This window comes from Homo sapiens, chromosome 11 (assembly GCF_000001405.40).
Source record: "Homo sapiens chromosome 11, GRCh38.p14 Primary Assembly".
Lineage (NCBI taxonomy): Eukaryota > Metazoa > Chordata > Mammalia > Primates > Hominidae > Homo > Homo sapiens.
In genome coordinates, this window is record NC_000011.10 from 4,295,212 (window position 1) to 4,321,146 (window position 25,935).

The window sequence follows — 25,935 nt, forward strand, 5'->3', positions numbered from 1 at the left end:
AAAATCAATTTTCCCTACTTCTGTAAGTCAAGGTCAACTATGAAAAACATTCTGTACCCTCTTTTTCTTTGGCCACCAAATAATCCACGTTTAATTTTCAGTTATCTTATTCACTAATCTTCTTCCTGCTGATAAACTTATCTCTTTCTTTATGTATCCTTTTCATATCTTTTTATTTAATTAGTCCAAGTAACTGTATATATACATATTTGTAAAGGAGAAACAGTTTTATGTTTAAGAAATATCTTTTTGTTTGTCACAGAATATTTCTCAGTTCCAGGGACATGTTTAGTGGTAATAATAGTAATTGGGTGCTAATGATTTGGCTGGTGGGGACTCTGACCATCTCTGGTCTTGGTTGAACTGCGAGCAGAGGCTAGAAAACTGTTTACCGTGAAGAGCTTTTAGAGGCCTTCTGCTGGATTTTGAATTTGACCCACCAAGTGAATTTAGTTGAGGGATAAATAGGAGGATGGTCTTTCTTGGAGCTGAACGGTTTTTCTAAACATTCTGCTAGTACTGCATGACCCATTGGCATGACTGTTAAAGTGCCCCACATCTGCTTAGCATCCTCCAAGATCCTTTGGGTGTGTTCCACAAGATCCTTTGGCTCTTGTAAATAATTAGCACTCCCAAGAGTGCCCTGTGGGACCCTCAGGTTTTTTGCCATTCCAGAACTGCCTTGTTTTCAACTGACCAACTTGCTCGCTGGGCCATGTCTCTTTCTCTGATCACATTCAAATGTTAAGCTCCGCTAAAATTTAGATTTTTTTTGAGACAGGGTCTTGCTCTGTCACCCAGGCTAGAGTGCACTGGCGCGATCTCAGCTCTTGGCTTACTGCAACCTCCACCACTGCCCCTGCCACCCCTCCTGCTTTCAAGTGATCCTCCCACCTCAGCCTCCAGAGTGGCTGGGACTGCAGGCGTGTACCACCATGCCCAGCCAAGTTGTTTTGTGTTTTTAGTAGAGATGGGGCTCACCATGTTGCCCAGGCTAGTCTTGAACTCCTGAGTGCAAGCAATCTGCCTGCCTTGGCCTCCTGAAGTGCTGGGATAACACACGAGAGTCATTGTGCCCAGCCATAAAATTTAGATATTTTATGCTTTGTTTTAGTGTTATGATAAATAAAATTGTTTGTAATGGTATTTTAAATTATTTGCTGGTTTTATATAAAGCATAATTTATTTTTGTATTTTAAACTTGGTGTCCCTGACCTTGCTAAATCCATTTATTTATCCCAAGTGTTGTGTAGATTCTTAGGATTTTTTTTTTTTACATACGCAGCCATGTCATCTCTTAATAAATACAGGTTTACATCCTCCTTTCTGACCTGAATATCTTTTATTTAGGTGTTATTATTTGATTTTTGCTTTTTTTTTTTACAATTTACTTGTGCATACACTGACTGAAGGACATCTTGATTGCCAATTTTGGCAATTATGAATAAAGCTGCTATAAATATCTGTCTGCAGGTTTTTGTGTGGACATACATTTTTAACTCATTTGGGCAAATACCCAGGAGCATGATTGCTGGATTGTATGGTAAGAGTATGCTTAGTTTTGTAAGAAACTGCCAAGCTGCCTTCTTAAGTGGCTGTACCATTTTGCATTCCCATCAGCAGTGAATGAGAGCTCCTGCTGTTCCACATCCTCCCCAGCATGTACTGTTGTCAGTGTTTTGGATTTTCACCATTCTAATAGGTATGTAGTGGTATCTCATGTTGTGTAAATTTGTAATTCTCCAATGACATGTTGTTGACTACCTTTTCATATGCTTCTTTGCCATCTGTGTATCTTCTTTGATGAGATGTCTGTCCAGATCTTTTGCCTTTTTAATTTTTTTGAGACAGTCTCTGTCACCCAGGCTGAAGTGCAGTGCCCACAGAGAGAACTGCCACAGGGGCAGAGTCACACAGAGAGGGTAATGCATAGTGGAGCCACCTCACAGTTCCACTTGGGTCATGCCCAAGAGAACTGTAGGGCTGGGCTGCTCCCAACACTCCAGACCTGTAGAATCACCAACGTGCAACTCTAGCTCGAGAGAGCCACAGGCACTGAACTCCAACCTGTGAAAGCTGCAGCATGGGCTGCATCCGGCAAAGACATGGAGGTCGGGTCCCCTGAAGCCTTGGGACCCAACCGCCACCCCAGTGTGTCTGGAAGGCAGGGCATGGAGTCAAAAATTATTCTCAAGCTTAAAGTTTTAATGTTATTTACCTTGTTTGGATTTGGGCTTACTTGGGACCCATTACCCCCCTTTTTTCTTGGCTATTTCTCCCTTTTGGAATGAAAGTGTCTAGTCTATGCTTGTCTCACCATTGTATTTTGGAAACACATAACTTATTTGATTTCACAGGCTCACAGCTGGAGAGAAATTTGCCTCAGGATGAATTGTACCTTGGGTCTCACTCATATCTGATTTAGATGAGACTCTAGACCTTAGAATTTTGAATTGGTACTGGAATGAGTTATAACTTTTTGGGGCTATTAAGATGGAATGAATGTATTTTGTGTGTGAGAAGGAAATGAATTTGGTGGGCTAAGGATGGAAAGTTATGGTCTGAAGATATTCCCCAAAATTCATATGTTAAAACTCAACCACCAATGTGATAATATTAAGAGGCAAGGCTTTTAGGAAGTGATTAAGTCGTGAGAGCAGAGCCTTCCTACATGGAATTAGTGAACTTATCAAAGGGCTGGAGGGAACTAGCCTAGGCCCTTTTTGCTCTTCTGTTTCTTTTGTCTTGTGAAGATACAGTGTTCAAGGTGGCATCTTGGAAGAACAGACTAGGCCCTCACCAGATGCCAAACCTGCAAGCACCTTGATTTTGCACGTTCCAGGCTCAAAAACTGTGAGGAATAAGTTTCTATTATTTATAAATTGTCCAGTCTCAGGCATTTTGTTATAACAGTAGAAATAGACTAAGAGAGTAACACTAGAGGCCATTAAACATGTGGTTTATTCAGGATCATTATAACAACAACAAAGCCTAAACCATCTCAACTCCTGACTAGATTGATCAATACCCATGCTGAATGCCTAGCAAAAGACAAGGTCTTCTTTTTCTTTTTTTATTATACTTTAAGATTCAGGGTACATGTGCACAACGTGCAGGTTTGTTACATATGTGTACATGTGCCGTGTTGGTGTGCTGCACCCAGTAACTGGTCATTTAACATTAGGTATATCTCCTAATGCTATCCGTCCCCTCTCCACCCTCCCCGCACTCCAAAACAGGCCCCAGTGTGTGATGTTCCCCTTGCTGTGTCCATGTACTCTCATTGTTCAATTCCTACCTCTGAGTGAGAACATTCGGTGTTTGGTTTTTTGTCCTTGCGATAGTTTGCTGAGAATGATGGTTTCCAGCTTCATCCATGTCCCTACAAAGGACATGAACTCATCCTTTTTTATGGCTGCATAGTATTCCATGGTGTATATGTGCCACATTTTCTTCATCCAGTCTATCATTGTTGGACATTTGGATTGGTTCCAAGTCTTTGCTATTGTGAATAGTGCCGCAATAAACATACGTGTGCATGTGTCTTTATAGCAGCATGATTTATAATCCTTTGGGTATATACCCAGTAATGGGATGGCTGGGTCAAATGGTATTTCTAGTTCTACATCCCTGAGGAATTGCCACACTGACTTCCACAATGGTTGAACTAGTTTACAGTCCCACCAACAGTGTAAAAGTGTTCCTATTTCTCCACATCCTCTCCAGCACCTGTTGTTTCCTGACTTTCTAATGATCGCCATTCTAACTGGTGTGAGATGGTATCTCATTGTGGTTTTGATTTGCATTTCTCTGATGGCCAGTGACGATGAGCATTTTTCCATGTGTCTGTTGGCTGCATAAATGTCTTCTTTTGAGAAGTGTCTGTTCATATCCTTTGCCCACTTTTTGATGGGGTTGTTTGTTTTTTTCTTGTAAATTTGTTGGAATTCATTGTAGATTGTGGATATTAGCCCTTTGTCAGATGAGTAGATTGCAAAAATGTTCTCCCATTCTGTAGGTTGCCTGTTCACTCTGATGGTAGTTTCTTTTGCTGTGCAGAAGCTCTTGAGTTTAATTAGATCCCATTTGTCAATTTTGGCTTTTGTTGCCATTGCTTTTGGTGTTGGCCTTGCCCATGCCTGTGTCCTGAATGGTATTGCCTAGGTTTTCTTCTATGGTTTTAGGTCTAACATTTAAGTCTTGAATCCATCTTGAATTAATTTTTGTATAAGGTGTAAGAAAGGGATCCAGTTTCAGCTTTCTACATATGGCTAGCCAGTTTTCCCAGCACCATTGATTAAATAGGGAATCCTTTCCCCATTGCTTGTTTTTGTCAGGTTTGTCAAAGATCAGATGGTTGTAGATATGCAGCATTACTTCTGAGGGCTTTGTTCTGTTCCATTGGTCTAGATCTCTGTTTTGGTACCAGTACCATACTGTTTTGGTTACTGTAGCCTTGTAGTATAGTTTGAAGTCAGGTAGCGTGATGCCTCCAGCTTTGTTCTTTTGGCTTAGGTTTGACTTGGCGATGCAGGCTCTTTTTTGGTTCCATATGAACTTTAAAGTAGTTTTTTCCAATTCTGTGAAGAAAGTCATTGGTAGCTTGATGGGGATGGCATTGAATCTATAAATTACCTTGGGCAGTATGGCCATTTTCACGATATTGATTCTTCCTACCCATGAGCATGGAATGTTCTTCCATTTGTTTGTGTCCTCTTTTATTTCCTTGAGCAGTGGTTTGTAGTTCTCCTTGAAGAGGTCCTTCACATCCCTTGTAAGTTGGATTCCTAGGTATTTTATTCTCTTTGAAGAAATTGTGAATGGAGTTCACTCATGATTTGGCTCTCTGTTTGTCTGTTATTGGTGTATAAGAATGCTTGTGATTTTTGCACATTGATTTTGTATCCTGAGACTTTGCTGAAGTTGCCTATCAGCTTGAGGAGATTTTGGGCTGAGACAATGGGGTTTTCTAGATATACAATCATGTCGTCTGCAAACAGGGACAATTTGACTTCCTCTTTTCCTAATTGAATACCCTTTACTTCCTTCTCCTGCCTGATTTCCCTGGCCAGAACTTCCAACACTATGTTGAATAGGAGTGGTGAGAGAGGGCATCCCTGTCTTGTGCCAGTTTTCAAAGGGAATGCTTCCAGTCTTTGCCCATTCAGTATGACATTGGCTGTGGGCTTGTCATAGATAGTTCTTATTATTTTGAGATACGTCCCATCAATACCTAATTGATTGAGAGTTTTTAGCATGAAGAGTTGTTGAATTTTGTCAAAGGCCTTTTCTGCATCTATTGAGATAATCATGTGGTTTTTGTCTTTGGTTCTGTTTCTATGCTGAATTATGTTTATTGATTTGCGTATGTTGAACCAGCCTTGCATCGCAGGGATGAAGCCCACTTGATCATGGCGGCTAAGCTTTTTGATGTGCTGCTTGATTCAGTTTGCCAGTATTTTATTGAGGATTTTCACATTGATGTTCATCAGGGATGTTGGTCTAAAATTCTCTTTTTTTGTCGTGTCTCTGCCAGGCTTTGGTAGCACGATGATGCTGGCCTCATCAAATGAGTTAGGGAGGATTCCCTCTTTTTCTATTGATTGGAATAATTTCAGAAGGAATGGTACCAGCTCCTCTTTGTACCTCTGGTAGAATTCGGCTGTGAATCCATCTGTTCCTGGATTTCTTTTGGTTGGTAAGCTATTAATTATTGCCTCAATTTCAGAGCCTGTTATTGGTCTATTCAGAGATTCAACTTCTTCCTGGTTTAGTCTTGGGCGGGTGTATGTGTCGAGGAATTTATCCATTCCTTCTAGATTTTCTAGTTTATTTGCATAGAGGTGTTTATAGCATTCTCTGATGGTAGTTTGTATTTCTGTGAGATCAGTGGCGATATGCCCTTTATCATTTTTTATTGCATCTATTTGATTCTTCTCTCTTTTCTCCTTTATTAGTCTTGCTAGCAGTCTATCAATTGTGTTGATCTTTTCAAAAAACCAGCTCCTGGATTCATTGATTTTTTGAAGGGTTTTTTGTGTCTCTGTTTCCTTCAGTTCTGCTCTGATCTTAGTTATTTCTTGCCTTCTGCTAGCTTTTGAATGTGTTTGCTCTTGCTGCTCTAGTTCTTTTCATTGTGATGTTAGCGTGTCAATTTTAGATCTTTCCTGCTTTCTCTTGTGGGCATTTAGTGCTATAAATTTCCCTCTACACACTGCTTTGAATGTGTCCCAGAGATTCTGGTATGTTGTGTCTTTGTTCTCGTTGGTTTCAAAGAACATCTTTATTTCTGCCTTCGTTTCGTTATGTACCCAGTAGTCATTCAGGAGCAGGTTGTTCAGTTTCCATGTAGTTGAGCGGTTTTGAGTGAGTTTCTTAATCCTGAGTTCTAGTTTGATTGCACTGTGGTCTGAGAGACAGTTTGTTATAATTTCTGTTCTTTTACATTTGCTGAGGAGTGCTTTACTTCCAACTATGTGGTCAATTTTGGAATAAGTGCGGTGTGGTGCTGAGAAGAATGTATATTCTGTTGATTTGGGGTGGAGAGTTCTGTAGATGTCTATTAGGTCCACTTGGTGCAGAGCTGAGTTCAATTCCTGGATATCCTTGTTAACTTTCTGTCTCATTGATCTGTCTAATGTTGACAGTGGGGTGTTAAAGTCTCCCATTCTTATTGTGTAGGAGTCTAAGTCTCTTTATAGGCCTCTAAGGACTTGCTTTTTGAATCTGGGTGCTCCTGTATTGGGTGCATATATATGTAGGATAGTTAGCTCTTCTTGTTGAATTGATCCCTTTACCATTATGTAATGGTCTTCTTTGTCTCTTTTGATCTTTGTTGGTTTAAAGTCTGTTTTATCAGAGACTAAGATTGCAACACCTGCGTTTTTTTGTTTTCCATTTGCTTGGTAGATCTTCCTCCATCCCTTTATTTTGAGCCTATGTGTGTCTCTGCATGTGAGATGGGTTTCCTGAATACAGCACACGGATGGGTCTTGACTCTTTATCCAATTTGCCAGTCTGTGTCTTTTAATTGGAGCATTTAGCCCATTTATTTTTAGGGTTAATATTGTTAGGTGTGAATTTGATCCTGTCATTATGATGTTAGCTGGTTATTTTGCTCATTAGTTGATGCAGTTTCTTCCTAATCTCAATGGTCTTTACAATCTGGCATGTTTTTGCAGTGGCTGGTACCGGTTGTTCCTTTCCATGTTTAGTGCTTCCTTCAGGAGCTCTTTTAGGTCAGGCCTGGTGGTGACAAAATCTCTCAGCGTTTGCTTGTCTGTAAAGTATTTTATTTCTCCTTCACTTATGAAGCTTAGTTTGGCTGGATATGAAATTCTGGTTTGAAAATTCTTTTCTTTAAGAATGTTGAATATTGGCCCCCACTCTCTTCTGGCTTGTAGAGTTTCTGCCGAGAGATCAGCTGTTAGTCTGATGGGCTTCCCTTCGTGGGTAACCCGAGCTTTCTCTCTAGCTGCCCTTAACATTTTTTCCTTCATTTCAACTTTCGTGAATCTGACAATTATGTGTCTTGGAGTTACTCTTCTCGAGGGGTATCTTTGTGCCATTCTCTGTATTTCCTGAATTTGAATGTTGGGCTGCCTTGCTAGATTGGGGAAGTTCTCCTAGATAATATCCTGTCGAGTGTTTTCCAACTTGGTTCCATTCTTCCCGTCACGTTCAGGTACACCAAATAGACATACATTTGGTCTTTTCACATAGTCCCATATTTCTTGGAAGCTTTGTTGATTTCTTTTTATTCTTTTTTCTCTAAACTTCTCTTCTCACCTCATTTCTTTCATTTGATCTTCCGTCACTGATACCCTTTCTTCCAGTTGATCGAATCAGCTACTGAGGCTTGTGCATTCGTCATGTAGTTCTCGTGCCTTGGTTTTCAGCTCCATCAGGTCCTTTACAGACTTCTCTGCATTGGTTATTCTGACCTAAAATCATATAATCCCTAGAAGAAAACCTAGGCAATACCATTCAGGACATAGACATGGGCAAGGACTTCATGTTTAAAACATGATTTTAAAGAATATCAGAAATTTCCAGAGTTTTTTATTTCTATCAATCCTGTTAGAGTGAATTTAGTCATTTCTATGATTTTTAACAGCCTACAATTTCAACCAACAATTTCGTTGCTTCTCCTGAAGAGAGTATAGTGGTATGTGATGTATTTTATGTCATAGAGCTTTTTTTTACATGGGAAATAATAGTGCAAGTTGTGGTTTTATATTGTCAATGATCATTTTTCTCTCCTCCTCTTGTTTTAACCTCTCAGGAGCATTTGAAGATACTTTACTGTTCTGTCCTTGAATTATCTTCTCAGCTTTTATAGTATCAACTTGCTCCTATACCTCCCCAACAATTTTCCAAGATTCAATCAGAAAAAAATCCATAAATCCTATCTTCAAATCTTAACATTTGCATACTTGACCCTACATGATTAGATTTCTATTCACCTCATCTACTTTATCTTCTGCTTCACCTCCACAAATACTCTGCTACAACCATTTCTATTCTTTGAACTCCTTCATCTAATTTTAGAAGTCGGCTTTTTGAAATTTCTTTTTCCTGTGCCCCAAATACTCTCACTGCCTATTTTTCTATGGCTTACTGCTTATTAGGTAAGTTTCAGTCCACATATCCTGTTCTCAGTGAAAAGTTCTCTGGCTAGCCAATTTTGAGTACATGTACGTAAATAGGGAATGAAAGATTTTCAAGCCAAAATTCATAAAAGAACGACATCACAGGCCAACCTTTGATGAATGGGGGAGTTTAGCCACCCATTCTCAGATCAGGCAGCTGAGTTCTAAAATAAGATTTCAGTATTTATGTTAATCTCTTTAGAGATACCCCTGCTTTATTTTAACCTTATTAAAATGTTGATTATTTTGCCTAAAACTAATCTGTACCCTAAATCCTATAATAACTAAATCTTTTCATTTGTTTGTTGAGACACCCCATTGTTCCTCTGGTCTCCCTCTTTGCAATTAGTTAAAAAACAAAAACAAAATCCAAGACAACCCTGAATTTGTTGGATGACAAGCTTCTGTCTAAAGTCATAGATTGATTGGGTTGGGGGAGTGTCATTGATATCTAACCTACTCCATTCAGGATTCTACTCATGCTGAATTTTTTTTTGAAAGCTAAACATTGCCTTGGGTACTTTGATCATGTACTTCTAGCTCTTGGAAGAAGGCCATCATTTTTGCAGAAATAACACCTCATTAAGAAATTTCTCCATTAAGAAATTATAATTTTCATTATACAAAAATTTATGATATAAATTATAACTCGCACTGGCATCTTTAATTTGACAATTTTTTATTTAATTATTTTTAGTATAGTTGACAAGCAAAAATGATCCTAGTTTTCATAAGATGTATTAACAATTTGTATATATTCTACCTGGCCAAGAGCATGTCAAATGTAAATAAGAAAACTTTAAGAATCTATCCCATATAAAAAAGTAACATAGAGCACATACACAAATTTATGAATAATCATGTTTATGACAAGTTTATTGATACTGGCAAATCATCTGAAATAAATATTCAATAAGAATGTATAGGTTGGCTAAAATGATATATTTTGTAATATATTGTTTATGTGAAAATCTGTTAGGCAGTATTAATTAAAGTTAAATAAATACGTGAAGTTCATTTTGTAGCAAAGGAAATTCTTGTCATGTAACATTAAGTAATAATAAACTAATCATTATACAACATAGAAATACATGAAAGTATGATTAAATAATGAAATGTTTTCAATATTAATAATTATTTTTATGAGTGCAATTGTTGGTAATTATAATATTATTACAATATATTTTTAAATAACATATTGTTGAAATATTACATATATCAATTTAAAATCTAAAATAAATGGAATAAAGACAGAGTAAGTAATAGACTTATATTAGAATCAGAACAATTCCTGAAGTTAAAAAGAGAAGGGAAACACCCAGAGAAAATGTTTGGTGACTTGACTACATATAGGTCCTCCTATATAACTAGAATTAAGGAACAGATAAAATAAGGAAATTCTTGTAAAAAAGATTACTTTTTGGACAAACTGTAAAATGTGAAATACAGTAGATGTTAAGTATGAAAAAGTTACACTGGTAACTAAATTGTTGTAATTTGCAGCTAGTTAAGATATGTTTCAAGTATGATAAATATTTGTTAGAAATATGGGTAAAATAATAGGGTATAAATTATTGAAATAAAAATGTTTGATTTCCAAATGCATTTAAAAGGTCAAGTAAGAGATAAACAGAATGTACCATAAACACAAGAGTAAAATAGGAAATTCTTTGTACATTTAAATATTTTCCAAATAGTCTACAATGAGAATTTCATACTTTTGCTTTTTAAAATGAAACATTATTTTCTTGATTTAGTAACTATTATGTTAGTAATGATAGTAGATGCAATAGATACTAGGGAAACAACAAACATTCACACACACAAATGCTCATACACATGAAAAACATATAACAGTATACATTAAAATTTATTAACAATGGATATCTAAGAACATCAAGAATTGGTAACCTTTATAATCATTTTATTTCCATTATTCTGTATTGGCTATTCTTAAAGAGTCACCATGACTTATTCAAGTAAATAAATTTTTTATTATTTTATTATAAAAAGTTTCAAATATACAGAAAATTAAAAAAAAATTATGATGACCAATTATATAGTCAACCACCAAGATTCTTTCATTAAATTTTAACTCTACTTGCTTTATCATATGAATGTTCCTTGATGTATGATGAGGTTACGTCCCAACAAAGTAATCATAAGTTGAAGACATTTAAAGTAGAAATGTATTTAATATACATTATCTATGTCATATTAAATCCAAGTAAGATTACCCCAATATGAATTATAATCACACTGTCAAAGTTCAAAAATAAAGATTCTGAAAGTGGCAGGGGAAGGAAACAAATAACTGATGAAAGAAATTGAAGAGGATACCAAAAAAAATGGAGAGATATTCCACGTTCATGGATTGGAAGAGCCAATATTGTTAAAATGTCCATACTACCCGAAGCAACCTACAGATTCAATGCAATCACTATCAAAATATCAATGGCATTCTTCACACAAATAAAAAAAATCCTAAAATGTATACAGAACCACAAAAGACCCAGAATAGCCAAAGCCATCCTAAGCAAAATGAACGAAACTGGGAGAGCCACGTTACCTGACTTCAAATTATACTACAGAGCTATAGTAACCCAAACAGCATGGTATTGTCATGAAAACAGACACATAGACCAATGGAACAGAATGAAGAACACAGAAACAAATCCACACACCTACAGTAAACTCATTTTTGACAAAGGTGCCAGGAACATACACTGGGGAAAAGGCAGTCTCTTTAACAGATGGTGCTAGGGAAACTAGATATCCACATGCAAAAAAAGAAAAAAAAAGAAAGAAACTAGGCAGTATCACTGAATCTCTCACCATATACAAAAATCAAATCAAAATGGACTAAAGCGTTAAGTCTAATACTTCAAGCTAAGAAAGTACTACAAGAAAACATTGGGGAAACTCTCCCAGGCAATGGTCTGGGCAAAAATTTCTTGAGCAATACCCCACAAGCACAGGCAACCACAGCCAAAATGGACAAATAGGATCACATCAAGTTAAAAAACTTCTGCACAGCAAAAGAAACATTCAACTAAGTGAAGAGACACCCACAGATGGTAGCAAATATTTACAAACTACCTATCTGAAAAGGGGTTCATAGCCAGAGTATACAAGGAGTTCAGACAATGCTATAGGAAAAAAGTCTAAAAATCTGATTAAAAAATAGGCAAAAGATTTGAATAGACGTTTCTCAAAAGAAGACATACAAATGGCAAATGGGCTTATGAAAAGGTGCCTCCTATGAAAGCAATAGCGTTGCTCGTCTGAGAAATGCAAATTAAAACTACAATGAGATACCACCTCACCCCAGTTAAAATGGCTTTTATCCAAGAGACAGGCAATAACAAATGCTGGTGAGGATGTGAAGAGAAGCAATCTCTTGTACACTGTTGGTGGGAATGCAAACTAGTATAACCACTATGGAGAACAGTTTGGAGGTTCCTCAAAATACTGAAAAGAGAGCTACCATGGGATCCAGCAATCCTATTGCTGGGTATACACCCAAAAAAAGGAAATGGAAGAGATATTTGCACTCCTATGTTTATTGCAGCACTATTCACAATAGCCAAGATTTGGAAGCAACCTAAGTGTCCATCAACAGATGAATGAATAAAGAAAATCTGGTAATGTACACAATGGATTACTATTATTCTAATAATCAGTACTAATATTCAGCATGCAAAGAATGAGATTCTGTTGTTTGTGACAACATGAATATAACTGCAGATCACTATGTTAACTGAAATAAAGCTTGCAAAGAAAGAAAAACATTGCATGTTCTCATTTATGCTGGATCTAAAAATCAAAACAACCGAGCTCATGGACATAGAGAGTAGAAGGATGGTTACCAGAGGCTGGGAAGTGTATTGGGGGTTGGGGAGGAGGTGGGGTTGGTTAATGGATACAAAAAGTAGAATGAATAAGACCTATTCTTTGATAGCACAAAAGGATGATTACAGCTGACAATAATTTGATTGTACATTTGAAACAACTAAAAGAGTAAAAGTGAATTGTTGGTAACACAAAAGATAAACGCTTGAGATGTATACCTCGTTCTCCATGATGTGATTATTATGCATTACATGCCTGTATCAAAACATATAATGCACCCCATAAATATATACACCTATTATTTATCCACAAAAATTAAAAATAAAAACAAAAGAAGAAACAGCACCAATATACAACCTACCATTTTACCTCAAGAAAATAGAAAAACAAGAGCAAACGCAAAATTAGTACTCCTTGTTTTACCTATAAAACTAGACTACTTTATATTGTTTAAAGACAAACAATAGAAGAGAGACATAAAGAGTTGATTTGTTGAAAAGATAAACAAAATTGACAAACCGGTAATTAGACTAAGAAAAAAAGAGAAAACTCAAATAAATAAAATGAGAGATGAAAAAGGAGACGTTACAACTGATATCGCAGAAATCATAGAGGATCTGAAGACTATTATGAACAATTATACACCAAATAATTGGAAAATCGAGAAGAAATAGATAAATTCCTGGAAACATAGGAGCTACCAAAATTGCATTATGAATAAATGGAAACCTGAACAGACCAATAATGTGCAAGGAGATTGAATCAATAATAAAAGGAAGCCATCAAAAAAAGCTCAGTACCGCACAGCTTAATTTTGTCAAATATTTACAGAAGATTTACTACCAATTCTTCACAAAATATTCCAAAAAACTAAAGAGGAGGGAATTATTCCCAACTAATTCTACAAGGTCAGCTGTACCCGGACACCAAAACCAGACAAGGTCCCAAAAACAAAAGAAGAAAAACTACAGACCAATATCCCTGAGGAACATAGATACAGTAATCCTCAATAAAATGCTATCAAACTGATTTCAACAGTCTGTGGAAAAGATTGTTCACCATGATCAAGTGAGATACATCCTAGGAATGCAAGGATGGTTCAAAATATGAATATCAATAAATGTGATACATTAAATTAACAGAATGAAGGAAAAATATAATCATTTTAATAGATGCTGAAAAAGTGTTTGACAAAATTCAACACTCTTCATGATAAAAACTCTGAACAAATTAGGTGTAGAAGGAATGCATCTCAACACAATAAAGGTCATATATGACAAACCCTCAGCTAACATTATACTCAGTGGGGAAAAGTTGAAAGCTTTTTCACTGAAATCGGCAACAAGACAAGGATGCCTAATTTCACTACTTGTATTCAACATAGTATGGAAGTCCTAGCCAGAGCAATTAGGCAAGAGAAAGAAATAGAAGGCATCCACACTGGAAAGGAAGAAGTTAATTTTTCCCTGTTTGCGAATAACATTATCTTATACGTAGAAAACTCTAAAGGCTCCACCAATAACTATTAGAACTAATATGCAAATTCAGTAAAGTGGAAGGATAAAAAATCAACAAAAATATTAGTAGTCTTTTTATATGTTAATAGAAAACTATCTGAAAAAGAAATCAAGAAAACTATCCCATTTACAATAGCTGCAAAAATAAAATAAAGTACCCAGACATAAATTTAACCAAGAAGGTGAAATATCTCTATGATGAAAAAAAAAAACTGATTAAAGAAATGGAAGAAGACACAAAGAAATGAATATTACATATGAATAAATTGTAAAAATAATATTGCTAAAACATTCATACTACTCAAAACTATATACAGATTGAATGCAATGACTATCAAAATACTAATGATACTTTTTTACAGAAATAGGAAAAACAATCCTAAAAGACCTATAAAACCACACAAACCCCCAAATAACCAAAGTAATTTTCACCACAAAGAACAAAGTTGAAGGCATCATATTATGGGGCTGCAAAATATGCAATAAAGCTATAGTAACCAAAACATCATGGCACTAGCATAAAAACAGATACATTGACCAATGAAACAGAAATAGAGAGCCTAGAAATAATTCCAAGCACTTAGAGACAATAGATTTTCAATCAAGTAAGTCACCAAGAACACATATTGGGAAAAGGAGTCTCTTCAGTAAGTAGGATAGGAAGAAGTAGATAGTCACATGCACAATGAAATTAGACCCTTATCTCACCTTATGTATAAAAAAGGTCAAAGAAGATTAAAGACCTAAACATAAGACCAGAAACCATGAAACTACTAGAAGAAAATATAGGGGAAAGGCTTCAGAGATTGGTGTGGGTAAGGATTTTTTTTTTGGATATGACCTCAAAATCAAAGATGACAAAAAGCAAAATAGACAACTGAGATTACATTCAAAGAAAAAGATTCTGCACGGCAGAGAAAACAATCCACAAAGTGCAAACACAACCTGTAAAGTGGGAGAAAATCTTTGCAGTCTATACAACTGATATGGCATTAATATCTAAAATTTATAAGGAATCCAAACAACTTAATGACAAGAAAACAAACAACAGTATTTTAAAAAGGGCAAAACACCTGAGTAAACATTTCTCAAAAGAAGACATACAAATGGCCAATAGGTCAATAGGTGTATTAAAAAATGTTAAACATCACTGATGATCAGGGAAATATAAATCAAAACCACAATGAGATATCACTTTGCACCTATCTTAAGGGCTATTATCAAAAAGACAAAAGAACAAATAGTAAGGATGTGGAGAAAAATGAACTCTTACACACTGTTGGTGGGAATGTTAATTAGTACAGACATTATGGAAAACACTCTGTAGGGTCCTTAAAATATTAAAAATAGAATTATCATATGATTCAGTAACACCACTATTGAGTATATATCCAAAGGAAATAAAATCAGTATATCAAAGAGATATCTGTGCTTCCAGGTTTATTGCAGCACTATGCACAAAGGCCAAGATATGGAATCACCCTAAGTGTCCCATCTACAGATAAAAATGGATAAAGAAAATGTGGTATATATACACAATGGAATACTATTCAGCCATCAAAAAGAACACAATCCTGTTAGTTGCAACATGTTTGAACCTGGAGAACATTAAGTTAAATAGATAAGGCATAAAATGACAAATGTTGGATGATCTCACTCATATGTGAGTGAGAAAAAACTTGATCTCACAGAAGTAGGGAGTAGAATGTTGGTTACCAGAGGTGTGGATGGTTAAGGGAGAGGTAGGGATAGGGAGATGGTGGTCAAAGGATATGTAATTACAGTTATATAGGAGAAATGTATATAATACATTAAACATGTGTCCAGAATAGGCAATTATATAGAGTTAGAAAGTAGATAAGTAATTGCCTGGGGCTAGGGGAAGAGGGGAAGAGAATAGGTGGGAGTGGGGAGGAAAAGGAAGAATGACTACTAATGGTTATGAAGTTTTTTATGTGATGAAACTGTTCTAAAATTGATTGTGGTGATGGTTGTGTAACTCTGTGAACATACTAAGACCATTGGATTATAGACTTTATTGATTTTTGTTATTTCTATTTTTTATTACATTTCAATAGTTTCTGGGGAACAGATGGTTTTTGGTTACATAGATAAGTTCTGCAGTGGTGATTTCTGAGATTTTGGGGCACTGGTTACCAGAGCTGCGTATACTATACCCAATGTGTAGTCTTTTATCCCTCACCTCCTCCCACCCTTCCTCCCACATCCCCAAAGTCCATTATATAATTTTCATACCTTTGCATCCTCCTAGCTTAGCTCCCACTTGTAAGTGAGAACATACAATATTTGATTTTCCACTCTTGAGTTACTTCACTTAGAACAATGGTCTCCAACTCCATCCAGGTTGCTGCAAATGCCATTATTTCATTTCTTTTTATAGCTGAGTAGTATTCCATGGTGTATATACCACATTTTCTTTATCCACTTGTTGGTTGATGGGCATTTAGGCTGGATGATACACTTTAAATGGATGAATTGTATGATATGTAAATTATATCTTTAAAGCTGTTTAAAAGAAAAGAAAAGCCCAGGACTTGATGGTTTCACTCATGAATTCTACAAAACACTTAAAGAAGAAAGAAAACCAGTCCTTCTCAAACTCTTTCAAAAAACTGAAGAAGAGGGCAAAATCCCAAACTTATTTCATGAGGCTAGGACTATCTGATACGAAAGACAGACAAGGACCATACAATAAAAGAAAATTACTCTGAGAGCAGTGGCTCACACCTATAATCCCGGTACATTGAGAGGCTGAGGCAGGAGGACCACTTGAGCCCCGCAGTTTGAGACCAACCTAGGCAACATAGTGAGACCGTGTTTTTACAAAAAATAGAAAAAGGTAGCTAGACAAGGTGGTGCATGCCTGTAATCCCAGCTACTTGGGAGGCTGAGGTAAGAGGATTGCTGGAGCCCAGGAGTTGAGGCTGAAGTGAGCCATGATCACACCACTGCATTCCAGCCTGGGCAGCAGAGCGAGATACTGTCTCAAAAAAATTACACACAAACATCCTCAACAAATATAAACATAGATGCAAAAATCCTCAACAATACTAGTAAACTGAATTCCACAGCATATAAAAATGATCATTCATCAAGATCAAGTGAGATTTATCCATAGGGTAAAGATGGTTCCACATACACGTGATATACCATATTAACAGAATGACGAACAGAAATCATATGGTCATCTCAATAGATGGAGAAAGTATTTAACAAAATTCAACATTTTTTTCCATGAAAAATGTTCTCAACAAATTACATATAGAAGGAATGCACCTCAACACAATAAAGGCCATATAAGACATACCCTCAGCTAACATCATACTCAGTGAGGAAAAGTTTAAAGCTTTTCCTCAAAGGTCAGGAACATAATAAAAATGTGCACTCTGACCACTTCTAGTCAGCATAGTACTGGAAGTCCTAGCCAGAGCAATTCAGCAGGAGAAAGAAATAAAAGGTTTCTAGATCGAAAAGGAAGCAGTTAAATTGTCCCTGGTTTGCAGATGACATGATTGTATATGAAGAAAACTTTATAGACTCCACCAAAAAACTGTTAGCACTGATAAAAATTCAGTAAATTAGCAAGATATAAAATTAACACATAAAATTAGTAGCTTTTCTATACACTAACAAGAAACTATCTAAAAAAGAAATCAAGAACACAATTTCATTTATGATAGCATTAATAAGAATAAGTTACTTAGGAATATATTTAGCCAAGGAAGTGAAAAACCTGTACACTGAAAACTAGAAAACATTGATGAAGGAAACTGAAGAAGACACAAATAAATGGGAAGATAGCCTCTGTTCATGGATTGGGAGAATTAATATTGTTAAAACATCCACACTACCCAAAGCAATCTACAGATTCAGTGTAGTCCCTATCAAAATACCAATGACATTCTTCACAGAGGTAGAAAACACAACCTTAAAATTATTATGGAACCATATAAGACCTTGAATAGCCAAAGCACTCTCAAGTAAAACATGAAAAATAAAATACAAAAACCAAAACTGGAGGTATAATAACACCTGACTTCAAAATATACTACAAAATATATTATAAAGCTATAGTAATTAAAACAGCAAGGTACTAACGTTAACAAAAGGACACAAAGACCAATGGAGCAGACTAAAGAGCCTAGGTATAATTCCACACATTTACTGTCAATTGACTTTTGCCAAAGGTGGCAAGAACAGACAAGGGGGACAATCAGTGTCTTTAATAAATGGTATTGGGATAACTCAATATCCACAAACAAAAGAATAAAATTAGATCCTTATCTCACTCTACATACAAAAATTACATCAAAATGGATTAAAGGCTTAACTGTAAGACTAGAAACTTTAAAACAGCTAGTAGAAAATGGGGGAAAAGCTTCATGACATTGGTCTGGGCAACAATTTTTTGAATAAGAATCCAAAAGCATAGGCAACAAAAATGAAAATTGGCAGAATTATTTGAAACTAGAAAAACTTCTGCATAGGCAGGAAATAACAGAAGAAAAAGGCAATCTATGGAATGGGAGAAAATATTTGCAAACCTTTATCTGATAAGGGGTTAATAGCCAAAATATATAAATAATTCCAACAACCCAATAGTAGGGAATAAACTTCTTAAAAAATGGGCAAAGCACCTAAATAGGCAATTCTCAAATAAGACATACAAATGGCCCATAGGTAAATGAAGAAAAGAAAAAGGTCAACAAAATTAATCATCAGGGAAATGCAAATTAAAACCACAATGAGATATCACCTCATACATGTTAGAATGACTATTAACGAAAAGACAAAAGATAAAAAGTGTTGGAGAGAATGGGGAGAAGGGGAACCCTTGCACATTGTTGGTGGGAATGTTAGATAGTATAACTATTATGGAAAACAGTATGGACAGTCATAAAAAAATTAAAAATAGAACTAGCTATGATCCAGCAATCTCACTACTGTGTATATATCCAAATATATGAAATCAGTACGTTGAAGACTCTAACTTCTAGTTCAAGTCCAAGGAACCCCTCTCATCACTCCATTTGCAGAGGAAAAACAATTCAAATATGAGCTGTCCCAGGATGTACAGCAATCGGCTTGTAGTTATAGGGGTAGTGCTTATTGAAAGAGGCTAAGCAAAAATACACTGAGAATAAATGCTGTTTTTTTTTTCCTTTGTCCACTTTTGTATGGGGTAATCATTTCTTTCTTTTTAGAATGGTAAGCTCTAGAGGATAAATATTTGGATGAAGGCCATAGGAAAAGGGGCCACAGAGGCCTGTTTAATAGAGACTTCAGGTCTGAGATACAAATGAGTCCTCCCAGCTCACAGTTGGTAGCTCAGTTCATGACATTATCTAGAGTTTGCACCAACATTCAGCTAGTATTAAAGACTTTGCTCACAACTGTTGCAAGGACAGAAAACCAAACACCACATGTTCTCACTCATAGGTGGGAATTGAACAATGAGAACACTTGGACACAGGGTGGGGAACATCACACACTGGGGCCTGTCTTGGGGTGGGGAGATGGGGGAGCGATAGCATTAGGAGAAATACCTAATGTAAATGATGAGTTAATGGGTGCAACAAACAAACACGGCACAGGTATACATATGTAACAAACCTGCACGTTTTGCGCATGTGCCCTAGAACTTAATGTAAGAAAAAAAAATAATTCTGCTCAGGAGGAACATCTCTGTGTATCTTCTTGCTGAGCCTGTGGTGGTAATAGGTAAGAGGCAGCTACTTGAGCTCCTGGAGTTCTTAGATGCGGGCATCTCTTTTTCAGAAGATGCAACCAATATTTTCTAACAGGACCTGGAGAATCATTTTATTTTAAAATCCCTCATAGTTCCAATGTTTAGATCACCTGTGGTTCTGTCGCTATTTTTTTCCACTTTTTTTTTTAGTTATTTGTTAGTTTCTTGGCATGCTTGGTGTGTGTGAATGGATAGTGATTTTATATGAAAAAACTAGAGACTCTGTTCTCTGAAACTGTTACGTTTCTCTAGAAAGAATTCAGGCAGATAAGGGTACTGGCAGATCTTGATCCATCTGAGAGGACGCTTAACTTTTGCTAGTGCTAGCGTTGATCTTTTTCTGGGTTGTCCTTACTCCTAGAGTACAGCCCTTCTAGTGTTTCAAAGCTTCCTAGTGTTTCAGTGTTTATTTACAAGGGTTGCTCTACCTCCTCAGGCCCTGACCTCCAGCCTCTGACTCCCCAGCACCATCAGACTGCTAGTCTTTGCATAACTGTTTAGCTTCACAGCTGCTGCTTTCAATTCAGGTGCTGAGAATCTTGCCCTGAACATGCACAGCTTAGGAATTGGCAAACTCCTCAAGGGGAATCGGCACGCTGAACTTTGGCCCAATTTTCTCTAAGGCTGCCTCTTCTATCTCAGGTCTCAGACTCCATGGTATCCCTGAACTGCAACTTCTTTATTCCTAGCCTGCTGGGTTTCACTCGCGTCCGTGTGAAGAGACCACCAAACAGGCTTTCCGTGAGCAGCAAGGCTGTTTATTTCACCTGGGTGCAGGCGGGCTGAGTCCGAAAGAGAGTCAGCGAAGGGAGATAGGGGTGGGGCCGTTTTGTAAGATTTGGGTAGGTAAAGGAAAAAGGGGGTTGTTCTCTGGTGGGCAGGAGTGGGGGGTCACAAGGCGCTCAGTGGGGGAGTTTTTGAGCCAGGATGAAGCAGGAGAAGGAATTTCACAAAGTAATGTCATCAGTTAAGGTGAGGACCAGCCATTTTCACTTCTGTTATGGTGGAATGTCATCAGTTAAGGCAGGAACAGGCCATTTAAATATCACTTCTTTTGTGATTCTTTAGTAGCTTCAGGCCCTCTGGATGTATACAAGCAGGTCACAGGGGATATGATGGCTTAGCTTGGGCTCGGAGGCCTGACATTCCTGTCTTCTTATATTAATAAGAAAAATAAAATATAATAGTGTTGAAGTGTTTGGGCAGTGAAAATTTTGGGGGGTGGTATGGATAGATAATGGGCGATGTTTCTCAGGGATGCTTTGATTAGGGGCAGCGTGGGAACCTCGAGTGGGAGAGAGTAAGCTGAAGGAAGATTTTGTGGTAAGGGGTGATATTGTGGGGTTGTTAGAAGAAACATTTTTCGTATAGAATTATTGGTGATGGCCTGGATATGGCTTTGTATGAATTGAAAAAAGAGCAGAATAAGACAGAGAGAACAACAGGTATTAAAGGACTAAGAATTGGGAGAACCCAGGACATTTAACTAGAGAGTGCCTAAGGAGGTTCAGCATAGCCCTGCCAGCAAAGATTATTTACTTTAGGAGGGAGTTAATAATGGCAGTTTGGGGATAGCACCATGAGATATCAGCTGTGATGGCTTGGAGAGACAGTGTAAACCGGCAGTGTAAACAAGAGCAGGGCATTTATGAGTAGTTGAGAATGGTGAATAGGAGTATGACTAGATAGAAGATAGTAGGGAAGACAAGCTTTTTTTTTTTTTTTTTTCGGGGGCGGTCGCAGTCCAAGTTGGTCTGGTGTCTGGAATGAGACTGGGGCCTAATAAAAAGGAGCGTCTACCCCGTCTCTACTAAAAATACAAAAAAAAAAATTAGCCGGGCGCGGTGGCGGGCGCCTGTAGTCCCAGCTACTCGGGAGGCTGAGGCAGGAGAATGGCGTGAACCCGGGAAGCGGAGTTTGCAGTGAGCCGAGATTGCGCCACTGCAGTCCGCAGTCCGGCCTGGGCGACAGAGCGAGACTCCGTCTCAAAAAAAAAAAAAAAAAAAAAAAAAAAAAAAAAAAAAAAGGAGCGTCTATAGAGCAGTTCAAATGGGCTGTACCCTGCAGCATTCTGAGGACAGGCCTGAATTCTGAGAAGGGCAAGTGGTAAAAGTATTGCCCATTCCTTTTTAAGTTGGTGACTGAGCTTGGTGAGGTGAGTTTTTAAAAGACCATTAGTTCACTGAACACTAAGAGCCTGAGAAACTGCTTGGGTGATTTGACTAACAAAGGCCGGTCCGTTATCGGACTGTATAGAGGTGGGAAGCCCAAACTGAGGAATTATGTCTGACAGAAGGGAAGAAATGACTGCGGTGGCCTTCTTAGACCCTGTGAGAAAGGCCTCTACCTATCCAGTGAAAGTATCTACCTAGACCAAGAGGTATCTGAGTTTCCTGACTCGGGGCATGTTGAGTAAAGCCAATTTGCCAGTCCTGGGCGGGGGCAAATCCCCGAGCTTGATGTGTAGGGAAGGGAGGGGGCCTGAATGATCCCTGAGGAGTAGTAGAATAGCAGATGGAACACTGAGAAGTGATTTCCTTGAGGATAGATTTCCACGATGGAAAGGAAATGAGAGGTTCTAAGAGTTGGGCTGTTGGCTTGTTCTATAGCATAGCCTGCCTTTGCTGGTGTGTGGCGATTAGGCCTGGTGGAACTGCCATCAATAAATCAAGCGTGATCAGGGTGAGGAACAGGAAAGAAGGAAATATGGGGAAATGGGGTGAATGTCAGGTGGATCAGAGAGATACAGTCATGAGGGTCAGGTGTGGTATCCGGAATAATGCGGGAGGCCAGATTGAAGTCTGGGCCGGGAACAATGGTAATTGTGGGAGACTCAACAAAGAGTGAGTATCGCTGAAGGAGCCGGGAAGCAGAAAGTATATGCATCAGGTGTGAGGAAGAAAATAGGTTTTGGAAGTTATAAGAAGTATAGAGAGTGAGTTGAGCATAGTTTGTGGTTTTGAGGGCCTCTAAAATTATTAAAGCAGTGGCAGCCACTGCACGCAGACATGAGGGCTAGGCAAAACAGTAAGGTCAAGTTTTTTGGACAGAAAGGCTACAGGGTGCGGTCCTGGCTCTTGTGTAAGAATTCTGACTGCACTAACCATGCCTAGGAAGGAAAGGAGTTGTTGTTTTGTAGAAGGGATTGAGGTTTGGGAGATTAGTTGGACATGATCAGCAGGGAGAGCACGTGTGTTTTTATGAGAATTATGCCGAGATAGGTAACAGATGAGGATGAAATTTGGGCTTGACTGAAGCAATGGGAGCTGTCTGTGAAGGCTTGTGGCAGTACAGCCCAGGTAATTTGCTGAGCCTGATTGGTGTCAGGGTCAGTCTAAGTGATGAAGGGTGCAAAGGGATAGTAAAGAAAGCATGTTTGAGATCCAGACAGAATAATGGGTTGTGGAGGGAGGTATTGAGGATAGGAGAGTATATGGGTTTGGCACCACGGGGTGGAGAGGCAAAACAATTTGGTTGATAAGGCACAGATCCTGAACTAACCTGTAAGAAAGACTTGTCTGGTTCTAGGACAGGTGAAATGGGGGAACTGTAAGGGGAGTTTATAGGCTTTAAAAGTCCATGCTGTAGCAGGTGTGTGATAACAGGCTTTAATCCTTTTAAAGCGTGCTGTGGGATAGGATATTGGCGTTGAGGCGGGTAAGGGTGATTAGGTTTTAATAGGATGGTAATGGTCATGTGATCGGTTGCCAGGAAGGGAGTAGAGATGTCTTATACTTGTGGGTTAAGGTGGGGGGATACGAGAGGAAGATACAAAGGAGGCTTTGGGTTGGGAAGAAGGGCGGCAATGAGATGTAGCCCAGGAATAGACAGGGAAGCAGATAATTTAATTAAAATGTCTCGGCCTAATAAGGGAGCTGGGCAGGTGGGGATAATGAAAAAGGAGTGCTTAAAAGAGTATTGTCTAAGTTGGCACCAGAGTTGGGGAGTTTTAAGAGGTTTAGAGGCCTGGCAGTCAATACCTGCAACAGTTATGGAGGCAAGGGAGACAGGCTCTTGAAAAGAAGGTAATGTGGAGTGGGTAGCCTCCTTATTGATTAAGAAGGGGATGGACTTACCTTCCATTGTGAGAGTTACCCAGAGCATCTGTGATGGTCCTGTAGGCTTCCGAGGTGATCGGGCAATGTCAGTCTTCAGCTGCTAAGCCGAGAAGATCTGGGAAGGAGTCAGAGAGCCTTGGGCCAGAGTTCCAGGGGTTCTGGAAGTGGCTGCCAGGTGAGTTGAACAGTTTGATTTTCACTGGGGTCTCGCACAGATGGGACACGGCTTAGGAGGAATCCTGGGATGTGGGCATTCCTTGGCCTAGTGGCCAGATTTCCAGCACTTGTAGCAAGCTCCTGGGGGAGGAGGTTCTGGAGGAACCCCCGGCAGCAGCAGTTCAGGCATTTGGAGTTCTTGTGTGCTGGAGATGTGGCTGGGGTTTCGCTCACAGTGGAGGCAAGGAATTGCAACTCAGAAATATGTTGCTACTTGGCTGCCTCTACTCTATTATTGTACACCTGGAAGGCGAGGTTAATTAGATCCTGTTGTGGGGTTTGAGGGCCGGAATTTAATTTTTGAAGTTTTTTCCTAATGTTGGGAGTGGACTGGGTGATAAAATGCATATTAAGAATAAGGCGGCCCTCTGGCCCTTCTGGGTCTAGGGCAGTAAAGCGTCTAAGGGTCACTGCTAAGTGGGCCATGTACTGGGCTGGGTTTTCATCTTTACCTTGGGTAGTTTCTTTCAGCTTGTCATAATTAACAGCTTTGTAAGCTGCCTTTTAAAGCCGTTCAATTAGGCGGGAAATCATGTAATCTCACCTAGCTATACCTGGGGAATCTGCCTGATAGTTCCATTGGGGATCCTCTCGAGGAACTGCTCTAATACCTTCCTGGAGGTCTGGCTCATGAAGCCGGTGGTTATCAGCATGAGATTGGGCTAGAGAAAAAACTCATTCTCGTTCACCTGGGGAGAGGGTAGAAGTCAGGATGACATTTAAGTCACTCCAGGTTAAATTGTAGGACAGAGTAAGATATTGGAATTCCTGTATGTATTTAGTGGGGTCTGATGAGAAAGAGCCTAAACGCTGACTGATCTGAGAGAGGTCTGATAGAGAAAAAGGTACATGTACCCTGACTATGCCTTCAGCTGCAGCCACTTCTCTAAGAGGAAATTGTTGGGCAGGTGGGGAAGAGCTAGTCACGGAACTAAACTGTAAGCTGGACTGGGTGTGAAGAGGGGAGGTGATAGAAGGATTACAGGGTGGAGGAGTGGAGGCTGAGGAAGAATGGGGACCTGGCTTGGCCTGGCGAGGAGCAGCCTGGGGAGGAGGGGAGAAGTCAGATGGGTCTGTAGAAAAGGAAGATTAGAAAGACTCAACTATGCTTGGGATTGGGACTGAGAGGACAGGAGGGAGGGAAAGAAGGAGTATTTGGGATGAGTCACACTGGGAACAGAGACTAGGGAAGGAACAATGTGTAAAAGAATGCCTGGACATCAGGCACCTCAGATCATTTGCCTATTTTACGGTAAGAATTATGTAGATCTTGTAGGATGGAAAAATCGAAAGTGCTGTTTTCTGGCTATTTGGAAACACTGTTGAGTTTGTATTGGGGTCAGGCGGCATTGTAGAATAAAATAAGGCATTTAGGTTTAGGTCAGGTGTGAGTTGAAGAGGTTTTAAGTTCTTGAGAACACAGGCTAAGGGAGAAGAAGGAGGAATGGAGGGTGAAAGGCTGCCCATAGTGAAGGAGGCAAGCCCAGAGAAAAGAGAGAGTAGAGACATGGAGAGAAGGGGTGGGGGGTGCTTGCACCCAGGAAAGTGGAGAAGGGGTAGAGACATGGAGAGAAGGGGTTGGGGGGTTTTTGCCACCCAGAAAAGCAGAGAAGGGGTAGAGACACGGAGAGAAGGGGTGGGGGGTTCTTGCCCTCCAGAAAAGCGGAGAAGGGGTAGAGACACGGAGAGAAGGGGTGGGGGGTTCTTGCCCCCCAGAAAAGTGGTACTTGCCACTAAGGGCGAAAGACCAAGGCAGGCATCCCTGTGTGGTCAGACACCTCTGAAACGTGGATGAATAATCAGGTGTCCCCGTGTGATTAAACACCAAGGGAAGACTGTCTTCCCGAGTCCATGACCGGCGCTGAAGTTTT

At 38.7% G+C, this 25,935-nt stretch overlaps 2 annotated features.

Moving 5' to 3' along the window:
- Nucleotides 309–809: an enhancer, noted in NCBI's record as "H3K27ac hESC enhancer chr11:4316750-4317250 (GRCh37/hg19 assembly coordinates)". NCBI's record gives its function as "activates a minimal SCP1, AML or CMV promoter by ChIP-STARR-seq in naive H9 embryonic stem cells {active_cell/tissue: H9 hESC(naive)}" and the evidence as "EXISTENCE:reporter gene assay evidence [ECO:0000049][PMID:30033119]".
- Nucleotides 810–1,310: an enhancer, noted in NCBI's record as "H3K27ac hESC enhancer chr11:4317251-4317751 (GRCh37/hg19 assembly coordinates)". NCBI's record gives its function as "activates a minimal SCP1, AML or CMV promoter by ChIP-STARR-seq in naive H9 embryonic stem cells {active_cell/tissue: H9 hESC(naive)}" and the evidence as "EXISTENCE:reporter gene assay evidence [ECO:0000049][PMID:30033119]".